The 25,060-nt window shown below is 48.2% G+C and overlaps 1 long non-coding RNA gene across 1 annotated transcript, besides 2 other annotated features; it reads left to right on the top strand.

Annotated features, from left to right (window-relative positions):
* Positions 2,163-3,362: an enhancer, noted in NCBI's record as "CDK7 strongly-dependent group 2 enhancer chr16:50430839-50432038 (GRCh37/hg19 assembly coordinates)". NCBI's record gives its function as "activates an origin of replication core promoter dependent on BRD2, BRD4, P300/CBP, MED14 and CDK7 cofactors, with strong dependence on CDK7, by STARR-seq in HCT116 cells {active_cell/tissue: HCT116}" and the evidence as "EXISTENCE:reporter gene assay evidence [ECO:0000049][PMID:35650434]".
* Positions 3,983-4,112: an enhancer, noted in NCBI's record as "active region_10817". NCBI's record gives its function as "activates an Ori minimal core promoter by ATAC-STARR-seq in GM12878 lymphoblastoid cells {active_cell/tissue: GM12878}" and the evidence as "EXISTENCE:reporter gene assay evidence [ECO:0000049][PMID:35858748]".
* LINC02178 (long intergenic non-protein coding RNA 2178) lies at positions 5,157-9,374 on the top strand. Its single transcript, NR_146572.1, has 2 exons — positions 5,157-5,355; positions 9,149-9,374. It is a non-coding gene; the product is annotated as a long intergenic non-protein coding RNA 2178 (long non-coding RNA).
* Positions 9,375-25,060: the final 15,686 nt, after the last annotated feature.

Raw genomic sequence — 25,060 nt, 5'->3', positions numbered from 1 at the left:
CCAGTCTGCCAGCACAACACTGCTTATTTTCCTACTTCTGTATCAGGGTCTCCTGGCATCACCTTCCAGATCAATTAACTTACACGCAAATCCTTGCTTCAAGGTCTGGATCTGGGGAAACAAAAGTTAAGAGAGGCTGGGCATGCTGGCTCTTGAACTTTGAGAGGCCAAGGTGGGTGGATCACTTGAGCCCAGGAGTTCCAGACCAGCCTGTGCAATATAGCAATATTCCATCTCTACAAAAAAAATTGTTTTAAAAAATTAGCTGGGTGTGCTGGCATGTGCCTGTAGTCCTAGCTACTTGAGAGGCTGAAGCAGGAGAACCCCTTGAGCCCAAGTAGTTCAAGGCTGCAGTGAGCCATGATCATGCCACTGCACTGCACTCCAGCCTGGACATAGAGTGAAACCCTGTCACACACACACACAAAAAAAAAAAAGAAAGAAAGAAAGAAAGGGAAGGAAGGAAGGAAGGAGAAAAGAAAAGAAACAAAAGAAAAAAAGAGAAGAAAAGAAAAGAAAAAAGAAAACAAAAGAAAAAGAAAAAGTTAAGACAGCTCCCCTGAGCCTGGAGATGAGGTGCAGTCACCCAGCCCACGAGGGTGGTGTGCCGGGGCCCAGGCTCATCCTTACCTTATACTCCTTTTGGCCTCCCCTCTTACCCTTATCCCTCCCACACCCAGGCCACAGCCACATCAGAGTCCCCCCACCCTTCCTAATACCCTCAGGGAACATCTATGGCTTATATCCCCCTATCCTCCAGCCCTCTCTACTTTTGGCAGTGCCCTGATCTTCCTTAAGGAAGGTGGTAAGTTGCAATATTTGCAATTTTTCTCCCGTCTCCACATCTATTCCCTCCACCATCTGTCATTACAGTCTATCTCACTAAAGAAGCAAAATTTGGCTGGGCACAGTGGCTCATGCCTGTAATACCAGCACTTTGGGAGGCAACGCAGAAGGATCACTTGAGGTCAGGAGTTTGAGACCAGCCTGACCAACATGACGAAACCCTGTTTCTACTAAAAAGAAAAAATAAATTAGCTGGGTGTGGTGGCAGGGCCCTGTAATCCCATAATCCCAGCTAGCAGGGAGGCTGAGGCAGGAGAATCCCTTGAACCTGGGAGGCAGAGGTTGCAGTGAGCCAAGATCGCGCCACTGCACTACAGCCTGGGTGACAGAGCGAGACTCCACCTCAAAAAAAAAAAAAACAAAAAACAAAACAAAAAAAAAAAAAAACAAGGAGAAGAAGAAGCAAAGTTTATATCCCAGCCTCAGTCTTGTAACGTGCTTTGGTCAACGGAATGAGGCGGAAGTAACGGTGTGCTAGTCTATCCCTAGGCCTTGCAAGTACATCGCTGTTCCTTCTTGCTGTGTTGTGACTCTGCTGTCACCAGAAGGTGAACAATCTGGGTTGGTCAGTTGGTCCCCGAAGGAGAAGGAGAGAGAAGAGCAGAGCTGTCCCCACTAACTACCCCAGACAAGCCCAGCCTGGAGCAGACCCTCCAGCCAACCTGCAGATGTGTGAACAATAAACATTTCCTGTTTTGTGTGCCACCAGGGTCTGTGGTTGCTCGTGACAGTAAAGGGAACCATCTATACCCACTCTCACTCCACACGGTTCAGGTGGAGCTGACCCCATCTCACAGTTCCAGAAGGGACACAAGACAGTCAGTACACTCCACACCCTGGCCTCAGTTGCTATGTCACGAATGGGCATGAGATCCAAGCCAGGCCAATGAGACCCAACTCTGGGACATTTCCTGGAACTTCTGGGAAAGAGATACTCACTTTCCACTGTGGTAGCCTAGGTGGTGGGATGTCAACCAGTAGCTGCGGGCTGCCTTCTTCCCATGGCAGGGGAAGAGACTTTTGAGAATGGAGCAGTCATGTGTTGGTAAACAAGCTCTCCTCCCACCAAAAAAAAAAAAGAAAAAAAGCGCTTATTTATAGCATTTGCCAATTTCCATGATACAAATACTCCGACCATGGCCAGTTTCATGCTACCAACGATGACCAACTGGTGCCCAAAATTCCTGAATGTTTTACAATTTGCTCTAGCACACCATTGAGAGGAGCCTATGCCACAGAAAACAGAGCCAAATGATGGAGAGATAGGCAGTATCCTGGTGATATTATTTGAGCCCCTAGATCTAGCCATGCCTGAAATCCATTAATACCTCTGTACTTGACTCTTACGTGAGTCAACCACTTCCTTTTGTTTCTTCTAAAGCCAGTTTTATTTGGGTTTCCTTTATGTGCAACTGAATAAAGACAGATGAATACACCCACCTCCATGTTTCTCCACTGCCTTTGTGCCTTGAGGAATCAGAATAAATCACTAAAAAATAATGCTTCCTGTCCTCAAGCATCGGACTCCAAGTTCTTCAGCTTTTGGACTCTTGTATCTACACCAGCGGTTTGCCAGGGGTTCTCAGGCCTTCGGCCACAGACTGAAGGCTGCACTGTTGGCTTCCCTTCTTTTGAGGTTTTGGGACTCGGACTGGCTTCCTTGCTCCTCAGCTTGCAGATGGCTTATAATGGCAAAACAATCATTCTTTAAAATATTTTTAATTGAGATGGGGGGTCTCACTAAGTTCCCAAGTCTGGTCTCGAACTTCTGGCCTTAAGTGATATCCCAAAGTGCTGGGATCACAGGCATGAGCCACCACGCCTGGCCCAAATCAATCATTTATGCAACATCAATTATGTGCCAGGCACTTTATAGGAAAGTTACTCCAGTAATCTTCATATCAACCTTACAAGATAGAGATCATTGGGTCCACTTTTTAGGTGAGCAAGCTGAGAGAGAGAGGCTGAAGGACTTGTTTTAAGGGCATGCACTTGAACCAGTATGAGAACCCAGATCCAACTGACATCAGAGCCCATGACTCACCCACCACCCCCTGGGGCTTCTCTTCCCTTAGCCACTGGCCAGTCCTCCTGCCTGAATGCTCCCTGAATCACCTCCACCTGGTAATCTCTGATTCATCTTTCAAGCAACTAAGTAATTTGCCCAAGAGCACGAAGACAGAGTATAGCAGAGGCAGGGTGTAAACTCTGCTCCTCAGCCTGCTCAATCCTCAACTCACCTTACCAGTCGGTTATGAGGAAGAAAGTTTCTAGTTCCTTTAACTTCCCAGAGAACTCTGCGCAAAGCAGAAAGAAAAACATTGCTGAACATTGCCACAATGCTGATTGATGAATAGTCGGCCTGATGGTTAATATTGAGTGTCAACTCGATCAGATTGAAGGATGAAAAGTTTTGTTCCTGGGTGTGTCTGTGAGGGTGTTGCCAAAGGAGATTAACATTTGAGTCAGTGGATTGGGAGAGGCAGACCCACCCTCAATCTGGGTGGGTCTAATCAGCTGCCAGTGTGGCTAGAATAAAATCAAGCAGAAGAATGTGGAAATGCTAGACTGGCTGAGTCTTCCGGCCATCTTTCTCCCGTGCTGGGTGCTTCCTGCCCTCAAACATTGGACTCCAAGTTCTTCAGCTTTTGGACTCTTGGATTTACACCAGTGGTTCGCCAGGGGCTCTAGGGCCTTCAGCCACAGACTGAAGGCTGCCCTGTCGGCTTCCCTATTTTTGAGGTTTTGGGACTTGGACTGGCTTCCTTGCTCCTCAGCTTGCAGATAGCCTACTGTGGGACTTCACCTTGTGATCGTGTGAGTCAATACTCCTTAATAAACTCCCTTTCATATATACATCTATCCTATTAGTTCTGTCCTTCTAGGGAACCCTGACTAATACAGTCGGTAAACCATGGGCCTCAGAGCCAGTGTCTGGTCCTGCTCTATGCCTAGGCTCCACTGAGTGAAGCCAACTCTGGCCCAGGATGGGTTCTGCTAGTTGGCCGAGTCCTCAACAAAATGTCTTGGAATGCACTTCTTTCTCCTGACGGTGGAGAAATGGCCAGCCACCTTTGGTTCATGCCGATATTTCAGATTCTGCACTTCCCCACAAAAATGGCTTCTTCTCCCATAAGCCCAGTCCCTGCTAGCTGTATCACCAACCTCTCAGGTACTCAGGACCTGCCCACTGCTTCCTTTTTTGCTCCTCCCTTTCCTCTGAGAGCACGCAGGCCCACACAGAGCTAGTCAGTTGCTTACTTGCTGCTGCAGCTGCATACGCTCAGGACTCTTGTGTGCAGGTTATAGAAAACTCAATTCAATTTCATAGTCCCAGGTACCTGAAATGGCTAGGGTGTGTCTGATTCAGGGGCTCCAATCATGGCCTCAGGACTTGGTCTCACTTCTCTATCTCTGACTCTGTTTTTGCCTGTGTGACTTCATTCTGCCACTTTGGGCCCTAGAAGGTCCAGATTCACTTCCTGCCGGAAGTGTCCCTTTAGAGACAAGATCTCACTCTGTAGCCCAGGCTGGAGTGCAATGGCACGATCACGGCTTACTGTAGCATTGGAGTCCTGGGCTCAAGCAATCCTCCCACCTCAGCCTGCTGTGTATCTGGGACTACAGATACTAATTTTTTATCTGTAGTGCCAGACTACAGATAAAACTGTAGTCTAACTAATTTTTTTATTTTTCTTTTCTAGAGACAGGGTCTGGCTATGTTACTCAGGCTGGTTTCAAACTTCTGGCCTCAAGCAATCCTCCCGCCTCGGCCTTCAAAAGTGTTGGGACTATAGGCCCAGCCTCACCTCCCCATTTTAACAATCTACTACACAGCTCTGAATCTTTCAACTTCCACCAAAAAAAAACAAAACAAAACACTTGCATGGTTCCCTATTGTCTAGGCCACAAAATCCAAGATCCTAGACCTGAAACTCAAAACCTCCATGCTCTGACTCTCCTGTAGTCCATGCTCTGACTCCAGCATAATTCTCCAGCCTCATCACCTTCAGCTTTCCATCACTCATTTGCCTGACAATTCAGCCAATCAAGACTAGCTGCTGTTCTTTCAATACACCTTACATTTCCTCTACTTTAAGCCTTTCCCTCATGCTGTGCCCTTCTTCTGGAATGCTCACCAACTCCCACCTCCACTTCTCCAAGTCCCTGAAATCAAGCCCAGCTGGATGGCTACTACTCCAAGGAAGGCTCATTTCTGCTGAATGCACACCAGCTCCAATCCTCCAAGGCAAATACTCCTGCCCCTTCACCACCTGGTCCTCAGCCCTTTTCTCATGGTGCAGTTCATCTATGAAAGAGACTGAGCCCCTATGAGTGAGGGTGATGTCAACACAACAGCAGGCACCCTTGGTAACCAAGTCAGCTTCCATATTGATCAGGACTCTTTTGATTGCAAGAAACCAAACTCGGATCTTTATAAAAGCAAAGGTAATTGACTCAGTCAGAAGCACATACAGCACGAGAGTTGTAGGCATGGCTACACTTAAGGTAGGTAATTAAGGTATCACATTTCTCTCTCTCTCTCTCTCTCTTTCTCTCTCTCCCCCCACCACCCCCACTCCATGTCTTATTTCTGCCTTTTTTGACATAATGGCCTCATTTTCTTCTACTGTTGATAGCTTCCTTCATGTAGCTGGAGAAGGTGGGCTTCTAGTGACTCCAGCTTACAACACCCTTAGAACTGGGGATCTCAGAGGATGGAAAGCTGTCTTCGCTAACACTAGGGCAGCAAAATTCTGGGGAGAACTCTGGCTGCCTTGTGTCACATGATTGTCCCTGAGCCAATCACTGTGGCCCAAGGAATACAGTTCTCTGACTGGTCAGATCTGTGCAGCACATGCATGGCAGGCTCAGCCCCACCCTCAGAACTACACGGACTGGGCACCCCTGGGAAAGAAGGGTCTGTTGCCAGAAGACAAGAAAAAAAGGAGAAGGAAGGGGAGGGGAGGGGAGGGGAAAGAAGGGAAGGGAAGGGAAAGGAAGGGGAGAGAGAGAGAGAGAGAAAGAAAGAGAGAAAAGGGGAAAGAAAGAAAGAAGAAAGAAAAGAAAAGAAAGAAAGAAAGAAAAACAAAAATGAATGAATGAAGGAAAGCAAGGAAGAGATTTACCCCAGTACCCTCCCAACACCCAAGCATGAGCTCTGATCCATACAGTGGATTATCAACTTAGCTGTTGCTGATAATGATGCCTGAAAAGATACATATTGAAATAACAGCAGTTATTCTTATTACTCACATCTGTTGAGCAACAGTATAACAGGCACGATTCTAAGTACTTTACATGTATTAACTCATTTATTCCTCATGACAATCCCCCGAGGTAAATACAATTATTAGTCCCATTTTACAGATGAGAAAAGTGAGGTACAAACAGGGAAGACACTTGCCCAGAGTCTCCTCCTGGTTACAAAGTTGAGGAGGTGGGATTCAAACCCTAGGTGTCCAGTCCCACAGCCTGTGCCCTCCCCGCTGCCCAATACTGTCTGCCTGGTGGTGTCTGGTATAATCTGGACATGCAGAGGAGCAGGAGAAGCCTGTTCCGCACTTTGTTACAGCCACTGATCTTCCCAAATTCTCCTTCATAAAAGCAGCCCAGAGGCCTGGCAAGCAGCTTCTGCCAGGCTCTGCCATTTGCCCCAAGGAAGGAGGATCGATATGACAGCCCAGCCCTCGCTACCTCACCACCCCCTCCCCTCCAGTGAGCCACCGTGGGGGTCTTCACCTGGCAACCCTCCGCCAAAGCTCCTGGCTCAGTCACAGGTGCAGCAGTGGCATAGAGCGTCAGAGCATGGGGGCCACAGAGGCCCCAGTGCCAGGAATAGAAACCAGAGCCCCAGGCCAGCACACCACTGGGGAGGGGCAGGAGGGGAGAGACAGACAGACAGAGAACATCAGAGACACACAGGAAGAGAGCAAAGGCAGAAAGCGTGAAGACACACAGACGGGGCCCCCTCCTCATGTGCCCTCCCACAGCACTCGCCATCAGCATATGTAACTCTCTCCTCTCTGGGGCTGGGGGTAAGAGGGGGACAAGGAGGACCCTTTTAGAACCAGCAAATAAAAGTTGGGCAGCAATTTGGGCATACATTTCTTTAGTTTCTATTCTCCTCAAGTCTCCTAAGCAGGGAAAGAGGCTCCGGGGCAAAGTGAGGGAGGACAGATGCCCATGGGGCAGGGTATGGGGGTCAGGGTTAGGCCCATATTATTACTATCATTATTATTAATATGAAAAGGAAGGAAGAAAGGAAGGAAGGAAGGAAGGAAGAAAAGAAGGAAGGGAGGGAGGGAGGGAGGGAAAATAAAGAAAAGAGAGCGAGAGAGAGATTAAGAAGGAAGGAGGGAAGGAAGGAAGGAAAGAAAGAAAGAAGGAAAGAAAGAAAGAAAGAAAGAAAGAAAGAAAGAAAGAAAGAAAGAAAGAAAAGAAAAAAAGAAAAGAGAGAGAAAGAAGAATAAAAGAAGTAAAAAAGAAAAGAAAAGGAAGGAAGGATCCATAATGCCTTCCACTTGACCTCACCCCAAATGATGGTCCTGATGCTCAGAAAGCCCCAGAATCCCCCTGATCTCTTGGCCAAAGCTCCAAAGGCCAAAGCCTGCAGCCACTGAGCCCTGCAAAGTAGAAATGAGAGGTCCGGGGGACAGTGAAAGGTCCTGGGGACAGTGAGAGGTCCCCAAAACATGGGGGAGCACGCCTGACCCTGTCCATCCCTCCCCGCAGGAGCTCAACGCTCTTCTGACCCACATCACATGGGACCCGCCTTCTCTCAGAATATCTGCTTGCTTTAGTGGACATGGGCTTGAGATCTTACTGTGTCCCTAAACCAGCCCTGTGACCTTGGTTAAATCCTTCCCTCCTGAGACCTCATCTGCCATCTGTACAGCAAGGGGCCCTTCCAGGGCTGGCATTCTGTGGCTCATAGGGTTTGGCTGTGTCCCCACCCAAATCTTACCTTGAATTGTAGCTCCCATAATTCACATGTGTTGTGGGAGGGACCCCATGAGAGATAATTGAATCATGGGGGCAGTTTCCCCCACACTGTTCTCATGGTAGTGAATAAGTCTCATGAGATCTGATGGTTTTATAAGGGGTCTCCCCTTTCACTTGGCTCTCATTCTCTCTCGTCTGCTGCCATGCAAGACATGCCTTTCACCTTCCACCGTGATTGTGAGGCCTCCCCAGCCACGTGGAACTGTGAGTCCATTAAGCCTCTTTTTCTTTAAAAATTACCTAGCCTCGGGTATGTCTTTATCAGCAGCATGAAAATGGACTAATACAGCGGCCTTGTGACTCTGTGGGCCATCACCTTCAGAATCAGAGGTGCCTTCCCAGGGGTGCTACTCAGGGACTCCCACGCTATCCACCCTGTCCCTCCCGTGAAGCCCCTGAATGCTGTCCAGCTTCCCCACCTCTTCCCTGCCTGCCTATCAAACCTTAGCTGTCCCATGCCCACAAGATCTTGCCAAGTAGCTGACCAACATCCATGGAAACTAAGATGGCCCAAGGTGAGATAGGAGGTAAGGATAGCCCGGCACACCATGAGATCTCAGCAGCACTGGTAGGGCCTGACATTTGGGCTGACAGTGTGGATTTAAGACAGCGTGTGCAATGGAAGAGGACAGGTGGGAACCCCTCTAACTCTCCCAGAATAGGACTGACCCATGTGGAGCTAGAATTAGGGGTCAGAACGCCCCCGCCCCCCCAACCCTCCCCAGGGCCCAAGAGACAGACCTTGAGACCTTAAAGGAGGGCGAAAGGGAGGCAGGATGACCCACCGGTACATCTGCCTCCTTCTCACGATGACAGGGCCTTGGCAGCCACGAGGGCGCTGTGGCTCCCAAGCACCTCTGCACTGAGCAATGCATCGCATCCCCACCACCTGCGCCAAATGTCAGCCTCGGCGCACGGTGCCCCACCCCATTCCCGAAAACCAAAGGCACCCCTTCTAGAGAAGAAAAAGAGGGAGCCTCATCATTAATAGCGCTGGCGGCAAGGTAAAGCCGCCCGCCCGCCCCCGCGCACCCTCGCCCATAATTATGCCAGCGCGCCTTTCATCCCCACGCGCACAAGCAGAAAGTTTATTGTTGTATTTCAGCCTTTTTTCAGTCTCCTCTGCCTTTCATGCAAGGGGAAGGGTGCTGAGGGGTCAAAGCACCTCCCCCACCTCCTCTCCCTGCTGCAGTCCTTTTAGAAAAACACCCAAAGCCATAATTTGTCTTAGAATTTCTTTTGAAACAGCTACAAGAAAGACTAACGACTGCTCTTTTCCCTCTGTTTCTGATTCCAGCCATCCCTTTATCTGGCTTTCATTAGAGCCTCGGCCGCGCCTCTTTTGTGGGAGAGACTTGAGGGAGCCGAGGCAGTTTCCCAGCCGCTGTGATGTTGCTAAAGATTAAAAAGGAGCTTTGAAGCTGCACCAGTTCTCTCTGTGCCCCCTCGGTACAGGACCTCAGAAAGACCCAAGCCATCTGGCAAACCTGACATAAAGACAAAATAAAGTGATTGAAACAGTCTCTTCAAAGCCACAATGGCAGATTTGTTGATTTGGGCGTTATCTTTCATGCGAGGCCCTCAGAAGTCACCAGAACACCTAGGTAATCTCAGGCGGGCCTGACTGGAGTGGATGGAGCTTTCCAGGCCGAGGCTCAGAGAGGGGCCCAGCCTCACCTGGCGGGGGCCCTGGGATGGCCTGCGGGCCCCCGGAAACTCCACAATTGGACACAGAGCCCAGGCCTCGGCAGCGGTTTCCAGCGAGGCCTCCTCCCTCCAGCCCCTGCCTGGGTCCCAGCTCCGGAGCGGCCCCAGACCCAGACAGACAGACAGAGCCAGGAGAGGAAGCTGGTGCGAGGCTGCCCTGAGCAGGAGGGGATGGCAGGAGATGAAAGGCTGCTGCCCTGATTACAGCCGACAGCCCATTAGTAATGCCCTGGCAGCTTCGGTATCAGAACCTGCTTCTCACAGCCCCCAGCTGGGCAAGGCCTGGGCAGATGGCTGTTTGCCAGGTTCCAGGGGAGGGTCTCCCTCAGACAACTGAGTCTTGGACCAGCAAAGATCCTGGAGCCACAGACCCCTGGGCAGCTCTGGCCCAGTTCTGCGTTAATGGGTCAGAGTTAACATAACCTGGAACCTGGCAGTCTCTGGGCCTCAGCTTGCCTTCCTGCAGAAGGGACAGGACTTAACCTATGGGTGGAGTTTCCCTTATCCTGTTGGGTGGCAAAGCCTGGAGCCCAAAGCCTTGGATCCTGAGTGCACCCCGGGCCTGAGCGGGAAGCCTGGAGGAGGTGGCGTCAGAGCCAGTGCTGCAGCTGGACAGTCCCTCCCACACTGAGTTCAGTGCAGGGATTTGGGGGATACCATCCCACATAACCACTTGCTGATGCAACCGCAAGTAAATCATTCCCCTCTCAGGGACTCAGCCCCAGTAGAATTCAAGGGTAAGAGGTGGCCAGAGATACTGGCATGCTGGGAAGAACTGGGGCTCCATGAACACCCCCAAAGGGACAGAGGTGGAGTCAAAAGAAGCTGAGTGGCTGGGCCTGTGGTTCACACCTGTAATCCCAGCACTTTGGGAGGCCGAGGCAGGAGGATCACTTGAGCCCAGGAGTTTGAGACCAGCCTGGGTAACAGCCTAGGCAACATAGCAAGACCCCATTTCTATTTTTTTTTAATAAAAAAATTTTTTGGTAAAAAATAAAAGAAGCTGAGCAAGTAGTCTTTTTTTCTTCTTTCTTTTCTTTTCTTTTTTTTTTTTTTTTTTTTGTGAGACAGGGTCTTGTTCTGTCACCCAGGCTAAAGTGCAGTGGTGCAATCATAACTTACTGCAGTGTCAACTTCCCAGGCTCAAGCAATCCTCCTATCTCAGCCTCCCAAGTAGCTGGGACTACAGGTGCATGCTACCATACCAAGAGAAATTTTAATTTTTTTGTAAAGATGAAGTCTCGCTGTTGCCCAGGCTGATCTTGAACTCCTGGGCTCAAGGGACTCTCCCACCTTAGCCTTCCAAATTGTTGGGATTACAGGTGTGAGCCCTGCCCCTGGCCTGAGTAGGTGGTCTTTAAGTTCCCCACTTCACTGCAAACAGCTGCTCTGCTTGTATCTGCTACACACACTGAGCTTCAGAATAAGATCTCCAGGCTTTTTTTAAGTATCTGCTTATTAAAACACACATACAATTTAAAAGCCACAGGCCTTGAGGGCCTCTGCTCGTTCCTTCTGACCTCCTTGAACCTGTGATTCTAATCGGACCCTGATGAGCTCAATAAGAGCTGGACTTCATTCTACTCAGTTTCAGCAAAATAATGAATTCACAAAGTCTAACCATCGATCAAAAACCAAGAATCTGTGGAAAATCTGTTCTGCCCTCCCACCCCAGAAAAATATAATACCTGCCTGTCCTCAAACACCAGGCCCAGAAAAGATTTCTAAAGGACGTTCACACCCCCAGGGGATATAATAAGTCTCCAGCTGCTTTCTAAGCCAGAGAGAGAGGGCCTCTGGTCACAGCCCTTGGAGACAACTTGCCCAACCCCATCTTTCTCTGGCCAGATCCAAGACCAGGGTCTCGGCTCCTCCTCTATGCTATCTTCTTCAGAGGACTCAAAGGGGAAACTTCTCATCACAGCTGATCCCAACCCACCTTTCTTTCCTTCCAGAAGCACAGTTGGCTCTGCCACCAGGGTAGGAGGCCCACAACAGAGATTTCCTGGCCTCTTGGCAGCAATGTGCCAGCATGAGATGAGGCTGTGCCAGCATAAGATGAGGCTTCCATCTGTTGTCCTCCCAAAAAGGGAGAGGAAGTCCAGCTCCACAGAGAGGCAGTGCCACAGAGCACATGTGGGAGGGGGCAGCCTGCCCACCAACCCCTACAGGGAACCTTCCAGGTAGACAATTTGCCCCTCCTTTTCTAACCATGCCTCCACATCTTCTCAGTCTGGTGAACTCCTACTGATCCTTCAAAACACATCTCCAATGTTACTCCTGTGAAGCCTTTCTGAGCTTCCTTCTCACATACCACTCCCAGCTCATGTGCCACTTCATCCATATCTGTCTTGCGTAGCTCTGAAATCAAATGATAATAATGTTTCCAGGAAGAGCGCACACTGGAAGTGGAAGGACCTCAGTTCAAATGTCAGTTCCCTTATTCAATAGCTATGAGACTTTGGACAGGTCACTTTGCCTCTCTAAGCCCCAGTTTCTTTATCTATAAAGTTGAAAAAATAAAATTTATTCTCTAGGCTGGTTTTTGTTTGTTTTTAACAGTCTTGCTCTTGTCACCCAGGCTGAGTGCAATGGCACAATTTCAGCTCACTTCAACCTCCTCTAGGCTGGTTTTGAAGATTCTGTGATGTACGTGAGAGAACCTAAAATTATGTCCAACACATAGAGGCACCCAAGAGAAGTGGGCTTCATTTCTTCCTTAGAAGAGTTGAGTTTCTCAAGGACAGGAACCAGGTCTTCGTTCATTCATTTATTCACTCGTCATCACTGAACTCTTGTTGGGAACCAAGCCCAGAGCCAGAAGTTGGGTTATGTAGCAGGTCACAAAACAAACTCTGTCCAGGGTCCATACATCTCACAACAGTCTTCCTCACCTGTGTCTCTCTGGAACCTGCTGTGGCTGACACTGATCCCACTCTCCTCAGGTGCTTTGGGCAAGGGCAGGTCTTCCGAGTCCAGGCTGAAATTTGCCCGCCCCTAGGATGGTCAGCAGGACTCTTTTCAGCTCTCGACATCCTCTGAGCCTTGTCTGAGCACTCTGGGAGGAGAGAGATGAAAAGCAGCCATCATCCCCACTCTCAGGGAGCTCCTGATCAGACGGAAGAGACCCCCATCTCATACCTGGAGGGTTTTCAGCCTGATGAAAGAGACAGACTCATCGATCTCAACCTTGAAAACTCCCAATCTGATGGCAGGGTCACATTTTCCTGATTTGGGGAAGTCCCATTTGGAGAGGAAAGAGCAGAGTTCCATTTTCCCTAATACTGCAAACTCTTAGTCTAATGGAGGAGACACATGCCTCCTGATCCTGGCCCAGTTTATCACTGATGGGGGTGAGATTGTTCCCATCACAGGAGGGGACCTCCTCTGATGGGAGAGGCAGTCTGTGCACATAGATAGCTTGAGAGTCAGATAAAACAACATGTATGGGGGAAAAAAGAGATCAATGTAGGGTCCTTTTGAAAAGCTGGCTGTGCAAAGTCTCTATCCATTTGTCTGTGGACTCAGAAGGGATATTCCTGGCTCTACAGATGCACCGTTTGAACTCGCAGAGCTGGACATAAATGACAGAGGCATCCGCCTCACGAGCATCCAGTCAAGCTCCTCACCAGACAACCCACACCAGAACTGGCCAGAGGCCCCGTCACTGGCATCCTGCACCAGCCTTGCCAGGGGAGGCTTTCTCACGATCAGGGACATCTGGGCTGGCCCAGCTCCCAGAGGCCACCGACATGAAAAGCGAGGGGCTCCGCGGAAACACCATCTGCACATCATAAAGCCGCTTGGTGACTCCCAGGGTCTGCCTCCATCTGCGGCTGGGTTGCCCGGGAAAAGAGAGGAAGGTACCAAGCGGCCAGGAGGAGGGGGCCAGGGGGAGAATAAGGATGGCCAAAAGGGGAGAGCCAGGCTGGCAGGCTTCCACCTGGCACCCTATGCACTGGGGAAGTTAACATCACCTGGTTTGTCTCCCTGTCGCTGCCTGGGAACACAGTGGGTTATGCCTATCCCTGGAGGTGACTTGGTGACAGGGGTAGAATACAGTGCTGGTTATGCTTTCAGTGGCCATACCTCAGTTTCCATGTCCGTACATTGGGGGTAATAATAATCTCGTCCATATGGTGGGTTTGCTATGGGAATTAAAAGTAATACAAGTATTGAGCTATACACTTAAGATCTGTACACGTAACATCTGCAATGTGTGATCCACACCTGGTTTAAAGTAAGTGTTCAGTCATCGTTGTCATCATCCCGCCTCCCAGACACTGTCCTGCAGCTCTGGGAGCAGGCATCTGTGATGGGAGGAGCCATCCAGGATATTTCACTGGCCATCCTGCCCAGGGCCCCACCCTCAACACCAAGTCCAAAGCTGATTGGACAAAGGATAGGGCCTGGCCCAAGAAAGCTCATTTATTGGCAGTTGAGCAGAGCCTATCAGATTCTCTGTGGAGAACTTGAGCTGGAGTTGGTTTCTGCCTACGGGTGATCACCTTGGGCCATGTTGAAGCAGAGGAAGGAGGCAGAGAGGAAGAGAAAGAACAGAGATGTAAGAACAGCAGAAATGAGAGAGATACGAGGTTCCTGAGAGGTGGAAAGAGGTGACAGAAGGGAGAAGGCCTTCGGTCATTTCTTTTGGGTTCCCATGTGAGTTCCCAGTAGATAAGGCTGTACCAATGATCATGAACCTATGGTTTGTGCCAAGAAGTACAAACACAAATATGCACATACCACACTCCCCACCCCACATCCCATCATACCAACATACTGACACCCCTTTTTACTTTTTTCCTTACAAGTCCCTACCCACATGCAAACAATTTCCTGAATGGTAAATCCCAGGAGACCAATTTAGTGGAGTGGGGCTCAGAAGCTGAGAGAGAGAAAGCAGTGAATAGTTCCGGAAAATAGCATTTTTGGAGAAAGTGGAGAGAAGAGAAAAGATGGCTGGCTGTAGGAGAAAAAACATAGGTGCACAGAGAGTGCTCAAGGGGAAGTCTAGAAAGTTTCTGAACTGTGGTGCATGATCCTTGCAGCAGAGCATCGTCAAATCATATCACCTGCCATCTCCCGGTTCTGCTCTCCCCCATGTTGGCTCCATCCTTTGCCCCTCCAGCTGGCAAGACAGCTGCTGGCCTCTACAGTGGCGTCAGCCCTCAACCACAGACAATAGCAGGGGCTCCAGTGTCTTGGTTTGGGCTCCCTCAGAAGGAGACCCTTAGTCAACGATTTTAGGACAAATGGTTTCCTTGGGAAGTGATCACAGGAAGTACTGGTAAGGGAATGGGGAAGAGAGCCAGCACGGAGAAGGAAGCCAATACAAGATATGTTACCATGCAGTTATCTCTGTGGGCACCCGGAGCCTAATCCCACTGGGGAACTGTGAGGGCCAGGGTAGAACATGCACCTCGCAGAGAAATGGGGTATTTATCCACCAGCTCCCATCAGCCATTGGTTGAGGGCTGCCACAAAGCTGGGACTAGGACTCCTCAAATTTTGCACCCTACGCACCTCACTTGCCTCCCCTGGCTACCTTGGCAACTCCTTGGCTCCATTAGCCCCCTGACTTCTAGCCCCTGCAGCACACATGGACAGAGTGGGCCCCAGCAGCCTGAGAGAGTACTCAAGCATAGACCCAAAGACGGGCAATTGGAAGTTCAGCCCGTGTGCATGGAAACGGCAAATACCAAGAGGCTATGCATGGGGCCCAGTCAGGGGCTGCTACATCCTGCAAAAAAAAATCTCATAGTATCTCAAAGGTTCTGATTGGGTCATATGTTCATCCCTGGACCAATCACTGAGGCCAGAGGGATGTGACACGCTAATTGAGTCAGTCTTAAGAGTGGTGGAGGGGGCAGGAAGAATGAGGGGGTAAGTGTGTTCCCTGTGTACCTTATAGAAACGAAGAGCATGAACCATAGCAACTCTCAGAAATAAGACAAAGAGGCATCAGTTGGGTGGCCAGGAAAACAAGACACACAAATGACCACGCCTCAGCCCCAAGTTGCAATTAATCAGAAGGTGAGAGGGTTGGGTTTAGCTTGTCAAAAGCCCTTCCAGCAAAACCCTTTAGCTAGTCACTTTAAACTTTGGTTTAAAGCATTAATTGAGCACTGACCTGTGCCAGACATTATGTCAGGCTCCGAGAGGACACAGATGAAAAGGTCTAATTTCTGTTCTCTGGAAACACAGGCAAGGGTGGCAGTGGAGATGGAAAAGCCAACGACTGCTGTTTCAACGATCATTTCAGCAGATCTGTTAATGAGATGCCACTGATCGTGACACACACAAATTATTTCATGAGCCACCAAGGAAAAAGAAAAGTTGCCAATTAAATATGTCACACCTTGGATAATAAGATTTATCCCGATTTTAGAGATATGAAATGTAAAAAAGATGAGTTTTAGAACTGATGGATTTTGGTCATATTTCATAGCTTATAAAGGATTTTTTTTTTCTTTCTTGAGATGGAGTCTCACTCTGTCGCCCAGGCTGGAGTGCAGTGGCGCGATCTCGACTCACTGCAACCTTTGCCTCCCAGGTTCAAGCAATTCTCTGCCTCAGCCTCCCGAGTAGCTGGGACTACAGGTGCATGCCAACATGCCCAGCTAATTTTTTGTATTTTTAGTAGAGACGGGGTTTCACCATGTTAGCCAGGATGGTCTCGATTTCCTGCCCAGCCTATAAAGGATTTTTTTATAGACACTATCCCATTAGGTACTCACTACAAACCTGCTGGGGGTAATATCACTGCTATTTTCCATTCCGTGAAACTGCACTCAGAGAGGTCAAGTGACTTTCCCAAGGTCGCTAAGCTACTAAACAGCCAAAGTGGAACTCAACCCCAGGTCTGCCTGGTTGCAGAACCAGGAGACCACCAGGTCTCCCTGACACTTTTGTGACTCCTGGTCCATCTTTTTACCAAACATGGACCTCGCCCATCTTTGTTTGCCTCCCACTTCAAAACAAGGATCCCAACCAACTCCACCTCCCTCTGCTCCCACCCACCCATATGCCTGGTCTTGAGATTTCTGTTCCCAGGAGCTTTCTTCCCTTCCAGGCAAAACAGCCTTCCTTGGTGACCACAGGCAGATCGTATGGTCACCCAATCATTCCCAGCTCCCCTCAAGGCTACTGCCATGGTGAGCACTACTCAAACCTGGGTCCCTACCAAGGATTCTATTTTGAAGGAGCCAAGCCTTTGTCCCCCAGAATACCTTAAATTAGACCTATTTGATAATGGTTTGTGTGATAGTTTCCTCATGTATATGTTCCCTCATGAACATAGGGGTTCACACTTGGATTAATGCTCTGAGTTCCTACCTTGAAATTCTTAATAATTTTGAACAAAGGACCCCACGTGTTCATTTTGCACTCAGCCCTACAAATGACGTAGCTGGCCCTGGTGAGAATGGGCCCGCCACACTTAAAAGTATCTGAGCAAGAAGTCGGACTTGTTGCCCCATTCCTGGGACTCCTGAGGTCAGGAACTGTCCTGGTCACCTCTGTATGCTCTGGGAACAGGCAGTGCTCAGTTCCCTAAGCAGAGGGACTCCTCAGTAGGCACTGAATGAAGTGTGTGTGTGTGTGTGTGTGTGTGTGTGTGTGTGTGTGTGTGTCCATGCACACACAAGTCAGCCTATGTTCTTTCAGTTGCAAGGGCTAGAAATCCAGTTCAAAGTACACAAAACTCAGAGGGGGAATTTATTCAACCCTTGGATTGAAAAGTGTAAGAGGTTGATGAACTTCAGGCTCAGCTGGATCCAGAGACTCAATTACTGTCACCAGGCCACTAGCTCTTGGCTCTGCTTTCTCCACCATTAGCTTTATTCTCAGGCAGGGCCTCCTCTCAAGCCCCAAAAGCACCAGACTGACATACCACTGGCTCAGCAAGCTTTTCATGGAAAGGTCCCACCAAAGCCAAGCCTCAGTCCCTGCCCACCTCTGTACCAATCACCAAGCCAGGGGCTATGATATTCTCATTAACCAGATTCCAGTCACAGGCCCACCTCTGAACCAATCATTGGTCCTGGCAGCTGTGATACTCTCACTGGCAGGCCTGGGTCACATGCTCACCCCTGAACCAATCCTCACTGGCCCTCGCGGCTGTGACACTCTCATTGGCAGGCTTAGGTCATGTGGGGAGAGGAGGCTCTCTAAGTGGAAGTCAAGAGGCTGTTGCTAGAGAAAGTGTTTATTTGGTGCCCAATGGGCAGAAATAACTAGTAACATCAAGGCTTCTCTCTGCCTATGTCCCAAGATGGTCACTTGGGTCTGAAAAGCCTGAGAAACCTGCTGACGCAGAAGAGCAGCCTTGGAAACCTAGCAAAAAGGGAAGGCCTGGGACATACCAAGAGTCCAGACAACCAAAAGGCCCACAGGAGGGGTCAGCAGGACCGGGGCAGATCAGACAGGTGCCAGAGGCAGGCGACCACTCTGCACAGTTACCACCAGAGGGCAGCTGGCCAGGAGGCAGGGTAAACAGGAAGAGGTCAAGTAGCCTTGGGGAAACTCTGTACCTTGCCTGAGGCATGGCAGATAATAACACTGACTACTCACCCTTATTGAGCCTGGCCCTGTCCTAAGCATTTTTATGCATCAACTCAATGAATTATCACCAATGAGATTGGTACATTTATAACCCCATTTTACAGATGAGGAAGCCAAGGCTTTCAAGTAACGAGCCCAAAGTGTCATACGGCAGAAAGGGGGCAAGTCACGCGTCTATTCCACCAAACCCTGAGCCTCCTGAGGTTAGGGGCTGTGTCTTGTTTGTATCTGAAGTCCCTGTGGACCCTAACAATCACTGTGCTTAATGGATATCTGGTGAAGTGAAAGCCTGGGGCAGGGGGCGCTGTCACTGTGTTCTCCACCCTCCCCACCCTCCCCATCCCAGGAGGAAATTACCAGGCTCAGTTCAGGCAATACCCCTTCCAGGTGTGCTGACCTTGGAAGATGATTCTTAGACCTTGCCCTTGCTCTGTTGTAATGGACTCTCAGGCACTACAGTACTCACATCAGTAGAAGAGAGAGTTTGAGATTTTGCAAAGGCTTGACAACTCCAAAGTCTCATGGTGTAGGTCACTTATTTTTGTTTGAGGCGGTCTTGCTCTGTTGCCCAGACTGGAGCACAGTGGCACAATCTTGGCTCACTGAGACCCCCACCTCCAGGGTTCAAGCAATTCTTGTGCCTCAGCGTCCCAAGAAGCTGGGATTACAGGCATGTGCCACCATGCCTGGCTAATTTTTGTATTTTTAGTAGAGACAGAGTTTCCCCGTGTTGGCCAGGCTGATCTCCAACTCCCGGCCTCCAGTAATCCACCAACCTAGGCCTCCCAAAGTGCTGGGATTACAGGTGTGGGCCACTGCAGCCGGCCTGTAGGTCACTATTTATGCCTCTCCCAGGAGTAGCTGGCTGTGCAGTTGGGGGGAAGAGGAAGAACATATTTAATGTGAATTCATTCATCATCCTCCACTGGGCTCCCATGGTGGGCCAAATACCATGTTGAGTGCCTTGAGGGGGACAGAGGGAAGCATGACAAAACCTCCTCTCTCCAATCCCCTCCTGGGAGGAGAAATAAGTCACTGCCAGAAGGAAGAACACAGAAGGAAGTCCTGCCTTCCACAAGAGAGGACTTCAACCGTCTAATCATTTGGGCAACAAAAATGTATTAGGTACATGTCAAGTGCCAGTGAACAAAACAGAATAGACTCAGCTCTTGCCCTCAGGAAGTTCTCAGTCTTATGGGAAGGCAGACAATAGACAAATAAATACGGAATTGCAAATGTGATGTGTTTTATCAGAAACAGAAAAACCACAGGGTGCTATAAGAGAAACTAAAAGAGGTCCGGGTGCAGTGGCTCACGCCTGTAATCCCAGCACTCTGGGAGGCCGAGGCAGGTGGATAACCTGAGGTCAGGAGTTCAAGACCAGCCTGGCCAACATGGCGAAACCCCGTCTCTACCAAAAACACAAAAAATTAGCTGGGTGTGGTGGTGAGCACCTGTAATCTCAGCTACTCGGGAGGCTGGGGCAGGAGAATCCCTTGAAACTAGGAAGTGGAGGTTGCAGTGATCTGAGATCTCGCACCTGAACTCCAGCCTGGGCGACAAAAGCAAAACTCCATCTCAAAATATATATATAAATAAAGACAGAAACTAAAAGGGGACTTGTTGGAGCAGTTTAGGGTTGCCTTTCTGAGGTGGTGAGAGATGAGAAGAGGCCAGCCATATGAAGAGTGTGGGAACAGCATTCCAGAATAAGGGAATAGCATGTGTGAAAGGCCTGCATGGAGGAAGAGTGTGGCATGTTCAAGGGACTAAGATTAGGCAAATTATGTCTGGAGATTAGTGGGTAGAAGTAGGCAGTGGCAGAAATCGGGGTCAGAGAAGAGCACGAGGTCAGGTTACACTGAGCCTTGTAGGCTTAGGAAAAAAGCTTGGGCTTGATCTGAGATGGGAGACCCCCCAAAGGGTTATGAACAGGACGATGATGTGGCCTAATCCAATCTATAATCTATGTTTTTGTTTTTATTTTTGTAACGTACCACCACCCACAGAAAAATCCATGTGTTTTGTTTTTAACAGAGATGGGGTTCTCACTATCTTGCCCAGGTTGGTCTCAAACTCCTGGTCCTCCTACCTTGGCCTCCCAAAGTGCTGGGATTACAGGTGTGAGCCACTGCCCCTGGCCCGGAAATCTGTGTATTTCAAAGTCACTCTGGCTGTGGTGGGGAAAGTGGATTTATGGCGGAGCAGAGTGGAAGCCAGGAAATATGGCAGCTCTTGCTGAGTCAATAGCCAGGGTGCACAGATGAGGGGCTATTCCTTCCTCATAGCGGGCTCTGGGGAGGCTTTCAGAAGCAGATTTTACCCCAGGTGAAAGAGGGACAGGCAGGCAGGAAGGAGAAGGCTGTATTCCCCACTCCACTCACTTTTCTCCTAAATAAAGGGGAGAAAAAAGTTTTTCCTTTTTCTGCCTCAGAAACTATAAAGAGATGCCCATTCATTGGTGCCTTCCAAAATGCCTATGTGTAGACTTAAACAACAATAACAACAGAACATCAGCAGTTCTGAGTGCAAATAATTCAATGATGTTGTAAAATCTGGCATAAATAGATCTGGCTGAGCCTCACAACTTTTCTTCCGGGGCTGACAATGTCAGCAACTCCAAGTCTGAACCCCTACTGGCTCTGAAAGGCAAGATCACAGTAGAGAGAGGAGGAGAAAACGCCCCTGGGTTGCATTTCCCCAGCAAATGGGCATGTTTGCCTCTCTGAGGAGCAGGCCAAGCATCAGCCAAGCCGACTGGAATTGGATTTGTAGGAAAGAACCTTTCTACCAGTTCTTTATCAGTGACCAGTCTCATGGGGGACAGGGTGAACATTTTGTGAAGCGTGTTATGTTTGTTAGCAGCAAGGTGCCTCGGGGCTCCTGTCAGCGCCAAGTAACAGGGCTCTGAGTAATTGGGCTCGGGGCTCCCCTCAGTAATAGGGCTCCAAGTAACAGGTAACAGTGCTCATCATTTACTTCCTCCTCTCATTGGGCCCTCACAACCTGCTCATTCTCAAGGCAGGTAGAGAAACTGAGTTTAGAAACAGGTGTTTGTTTTGTTTTGTTTTGTTTTGTTTTGTTTTGTTTAATGCTTGGTTACTTTGGGTACAGCATCCATTCTCCAATCCTCTGGTCACAGTACCCTAATTTTTCTAAGGGATCCCAACTTACTTAGGCCATGTGGTTTAGGTGGCACTCGTCTCCCTCCCAAGCTCCTGGGTTAGAAGACCCATGGTCTAGGATTCACTTGTCCCTGAATTCTGCCACCACCTTGACCACCCTCCACCCACATCCCACCCCTTCATGGTCATAGGCTCTAGGTGGGTACATGATATAAACCAGTCCAATCACATAGCCCTGTGACTTTTGATGGGCCACTGGGGAAAGGCACATTCCCTTTTTTTCTGGACTGGGATCTATGAGGATATCATCTGGGAGCTTCTAGAGGCCAATGGAGCCTGTCTGAGGATGGGACCAGGGCAGAAGGAAGTAGACCAGAGAGAGAGAAAGCCTGAATCTTGGGGACATCATTTGAGCACCTGGATATAGCCACACCTGAAGCTCAACCTCATTAGGGATGGGTTTCTGACTGTCACATGGAGGCCAAGCAATGCAAGAATGAGAACCAGGCTTTGTGATCTCCAGTTCAGTGTTCTTCCCCTAAATCAAGTTCCAGCTGACTTTATCCAGCCACACAACAAGCTCAACTAATCTGTGTGTGGCTTTATGGTCTGCTAAAAGATGTGTATTTTAAAAATAAAAACATCTGATCATTATAATGTTTTATCTAACCGAATTACAGAGCCGTGGAAGGGCCCCTGGAAGTCCTATCACTGAGTGGTTTTCAAAGATTTTCAGCAGCTTCTTGTTTCAAATGAAGTTTTAAGCAGAATGCCTATGTGTGAGAAATAAAAGCAGTAGCTTGTTAGTGCAAATGTGTTTTATCTTTTACGTTAAAAGTTCTTAACATTTGGCTGGGCACAGTGGCTCACGTCTGTAGTCCTAGCACTTCAGGAGGCCAAGGCAGGTGGATCACCTAAGGTCAGGAGTTCGAGACCAGCCTGGCCAACATGGGGAAACCCTGTCGCTACTGAAAATACAAGAATTAGCTGGGTGTGGTGGTGCATGCCTGTAAACCCAGCTACTCGGGAGGCTGAGGCAGGAGACTCACTTGAACCTGGGAGGCGGAGGTTGCAGTGAGCCAAGATCATGCCACTGTACTCCAGCCTAGGAGACAGAGTGAGACTCCATCTTAAAAAAAAAAAAAAGAAAAAAAAAGTTCTTAACATTTACTTTTTACAATCAATGAAGACCCAAATGTCAATGTGTTATTCATTTCCAATGTATAAAATTTTATTATATATTTGCATGTGTGGGAGGTTTTCAATCACTTTTTAAAAATTATTTATAATTGATACATAATAATTATACATATTTATGGGGTACAGAGTGATATTTTGATACATATATGCAATGTGTAATGATCAAATCAGAGTAATTAGCACATCCATCACCTTACACATTTATTATTTCTTTGTGTTGAAAACATTCAAAATCTTCTTTTCTAGCTATTTGAAATATACAATAAATTATTATTAACTATAGTCACCCTACAGTGCCAAAGAACACTAAAATGTATTCCTCCTATCTAGCTAAATATCCATCAGCAGACGAATGGATAAAGCAAATACACAGTGGAATACTACTCAGCCTTAAAAAAAGAAGGAAATCCTGTTGTTTGAAATAACATGGGTGACCTGGAAGACACGACATTAAGTGAAATAAGCCAGGCACAGAAAGAGAAATACTGCAGGATTAAAGGCTAAATCCTTTGCCCTCACTCATATGTGGAAGCTAAAGGAGTTGATCTCATGGAAGTAGAGGGTAGGCTAGAGCAGGAAGTAGGGTAGTAACTGGAGGCTGGGAAGAATAGGGAAGGCAGATAGAAAGAGGTTGCTTAACACACATCTATGCCAAGACGAAGAGAGAGGAGCTGAGCCACGTCCTGGCGGCCATGAAGAAAGCAGCTGCCAGGAAGGACTGAGCTCCCTGCCCTCTGCCCAAAATAAAAGCTTCACAGGAAAAACAAAAACAAAAAACAAACAAACACAAAAAAAAGTTGGTTAATGAATACAAAATTACTAGATAGAAGGAATAAGTTCTAGCATTCTATCACTGTTCTTTTTTAATAGTTAAAAATACTTTTTTGGGAGGCCGAGGCTGGCAGATCAGGAGGTCAGGAGGTCAGAAGATCGAGACCATCCTGGCTAACACGTTGAAACCCCGTCTCTACTAAAGATACGAAAAATTAGCTGGGCTTGGTGGCGGGCACCTATAGTCCCAGCTACTCGGGAGGCTGAGGCAGGAGAATGTCATGAACCCAGGAGGCGGAGCTTGCAGTGAGCCGAGATTGCACCACTGCACTCCAGCCTAGGCAACAGAGTGAGACTCAGTCTCAAAAAAAGAAAAAAAGAAAGAAAAAGAAACTTTTTAAATAATTGGGGTAAACGCCAGGTGCAGTGGCACACGCCTGTAGTCCCAGCTACTTGGAAGGTTGAGGCAGGAGGATTGCTTGCACCCAAGAGTTCAAGGTTGTTCTGCACTACGATCGCCCCTGTGAATAGCCACTGCACTCCAGCCTGGGCAACACAGCAAGACCCCATCTCTAAAATAAATGAATAAATAAAGTAAATGAAAAGTCCCTCAGATATTTTCCATCTTTCTGTGGGCTTATGAGTTAAAAAAAAAAAAAAAAAAAAAAAGAACCTTTTAGTTTATCTGGTTTTGTCAAAGGGTCTCCTTTTGATGTCTAGTTGTTCCAACTTCAGAAATGTTCCCTTTCTCTTGTCCAAGAAAATTAAGTCTAAGTATAAGCTAATGTTCCAGAATAGTGCTTCTCAAACTTTAATACACATATATGAATCACCCAGGAATCTTGTTTAAAATGTGAATTCCGATTCTACAATCCTGAGGTGGGACCTGAGACTCTGCATCTCTACCAAGCTCCCAGGTCCTGCCAATGCAGCCGTCCCTGGACCAATCTTTGAGTAGCCAGGCTCAATAAAGGGGTATCATGAATCTATCCCCTGAGGCAGGGAGAAAAGAATCACCACCAAACTCTAATAAAAAAAAAAAAAACACCACTGGAGAATATCTGGAATGACATATACCAAACTATTACAGAAAGTGGTGAGATTATGAGCAATTTGAAATATCTTCCTTACACCTATTTGTATTTTCAATTGGTCTATAACAAACATTAATTACTTAGGCAATAAATAGGTTTAAAACTAAATAACTGAATCAAGAAAAACCTAAAATACACACATATTTTTAAAAACAAAGTCTTTATCAGACACTGACAGAGCGTCAGAAGTGCTTCCCTAGAACCAACAGCTTGAAAGCAGCCAGTCGAGTCCTCTTTCTTTATCTTTTTACCTTTTTTTTTGTTTTTGAGACAGGATCTCACTGTGTTGCCCAGGCTGGAATGCAGTGGCACAATCATAGTTCACTGCAGCCTTCACCTCTTGGTCTCAAGTGATCCTCCTGCCTCAGCCTCCTGAGTAGCTGGGACCACAGGCATGCACCACTACACCTGGCTAATTTTTAATTTTTTATAGAAATGGGGTCTCGCTACGTCACCCAAGCCAGTCTTGAGCAATCCTCCCACCTCAGCCTCCAAAAGTGCTGGGATTACAGGCATGAGTCAGCGCATCTGACTGACTCCTCCTCTTTCTGCAGCCCTGTTTAGATGGAGATAGGGGAGAGACATGTCCAGGTTTCACAGCCAGTCTTTGGCAGAGCCAGGACTATGAAATTAGAGATCTGGGTGACATGGCACAAGCCCACAGCCACAGTCTGATAAGAGTTTATCAAACACATAGTGACTTTCTGTGAAGGGAATTTAATCCTGGGCCCCGTCCGCAGGGCAGTA

Source organism: Homo sapiens, chromosome 16 (genome assembly GCF_000001405.40).
Source record: "Homo sapiens chromosome 16, GRCh38.p14 Primary Assembly".
NCBI lineage: Eukaryota > Metazoa > Chordata > Mammalia > Primates > Hominidae > Homo > Homo sapiens.
The sequence above is the reverse complement of the archived record's forward strand: the minus strand, read 5'-3'. Positions and strand labels throughout refer to the sequence as shown.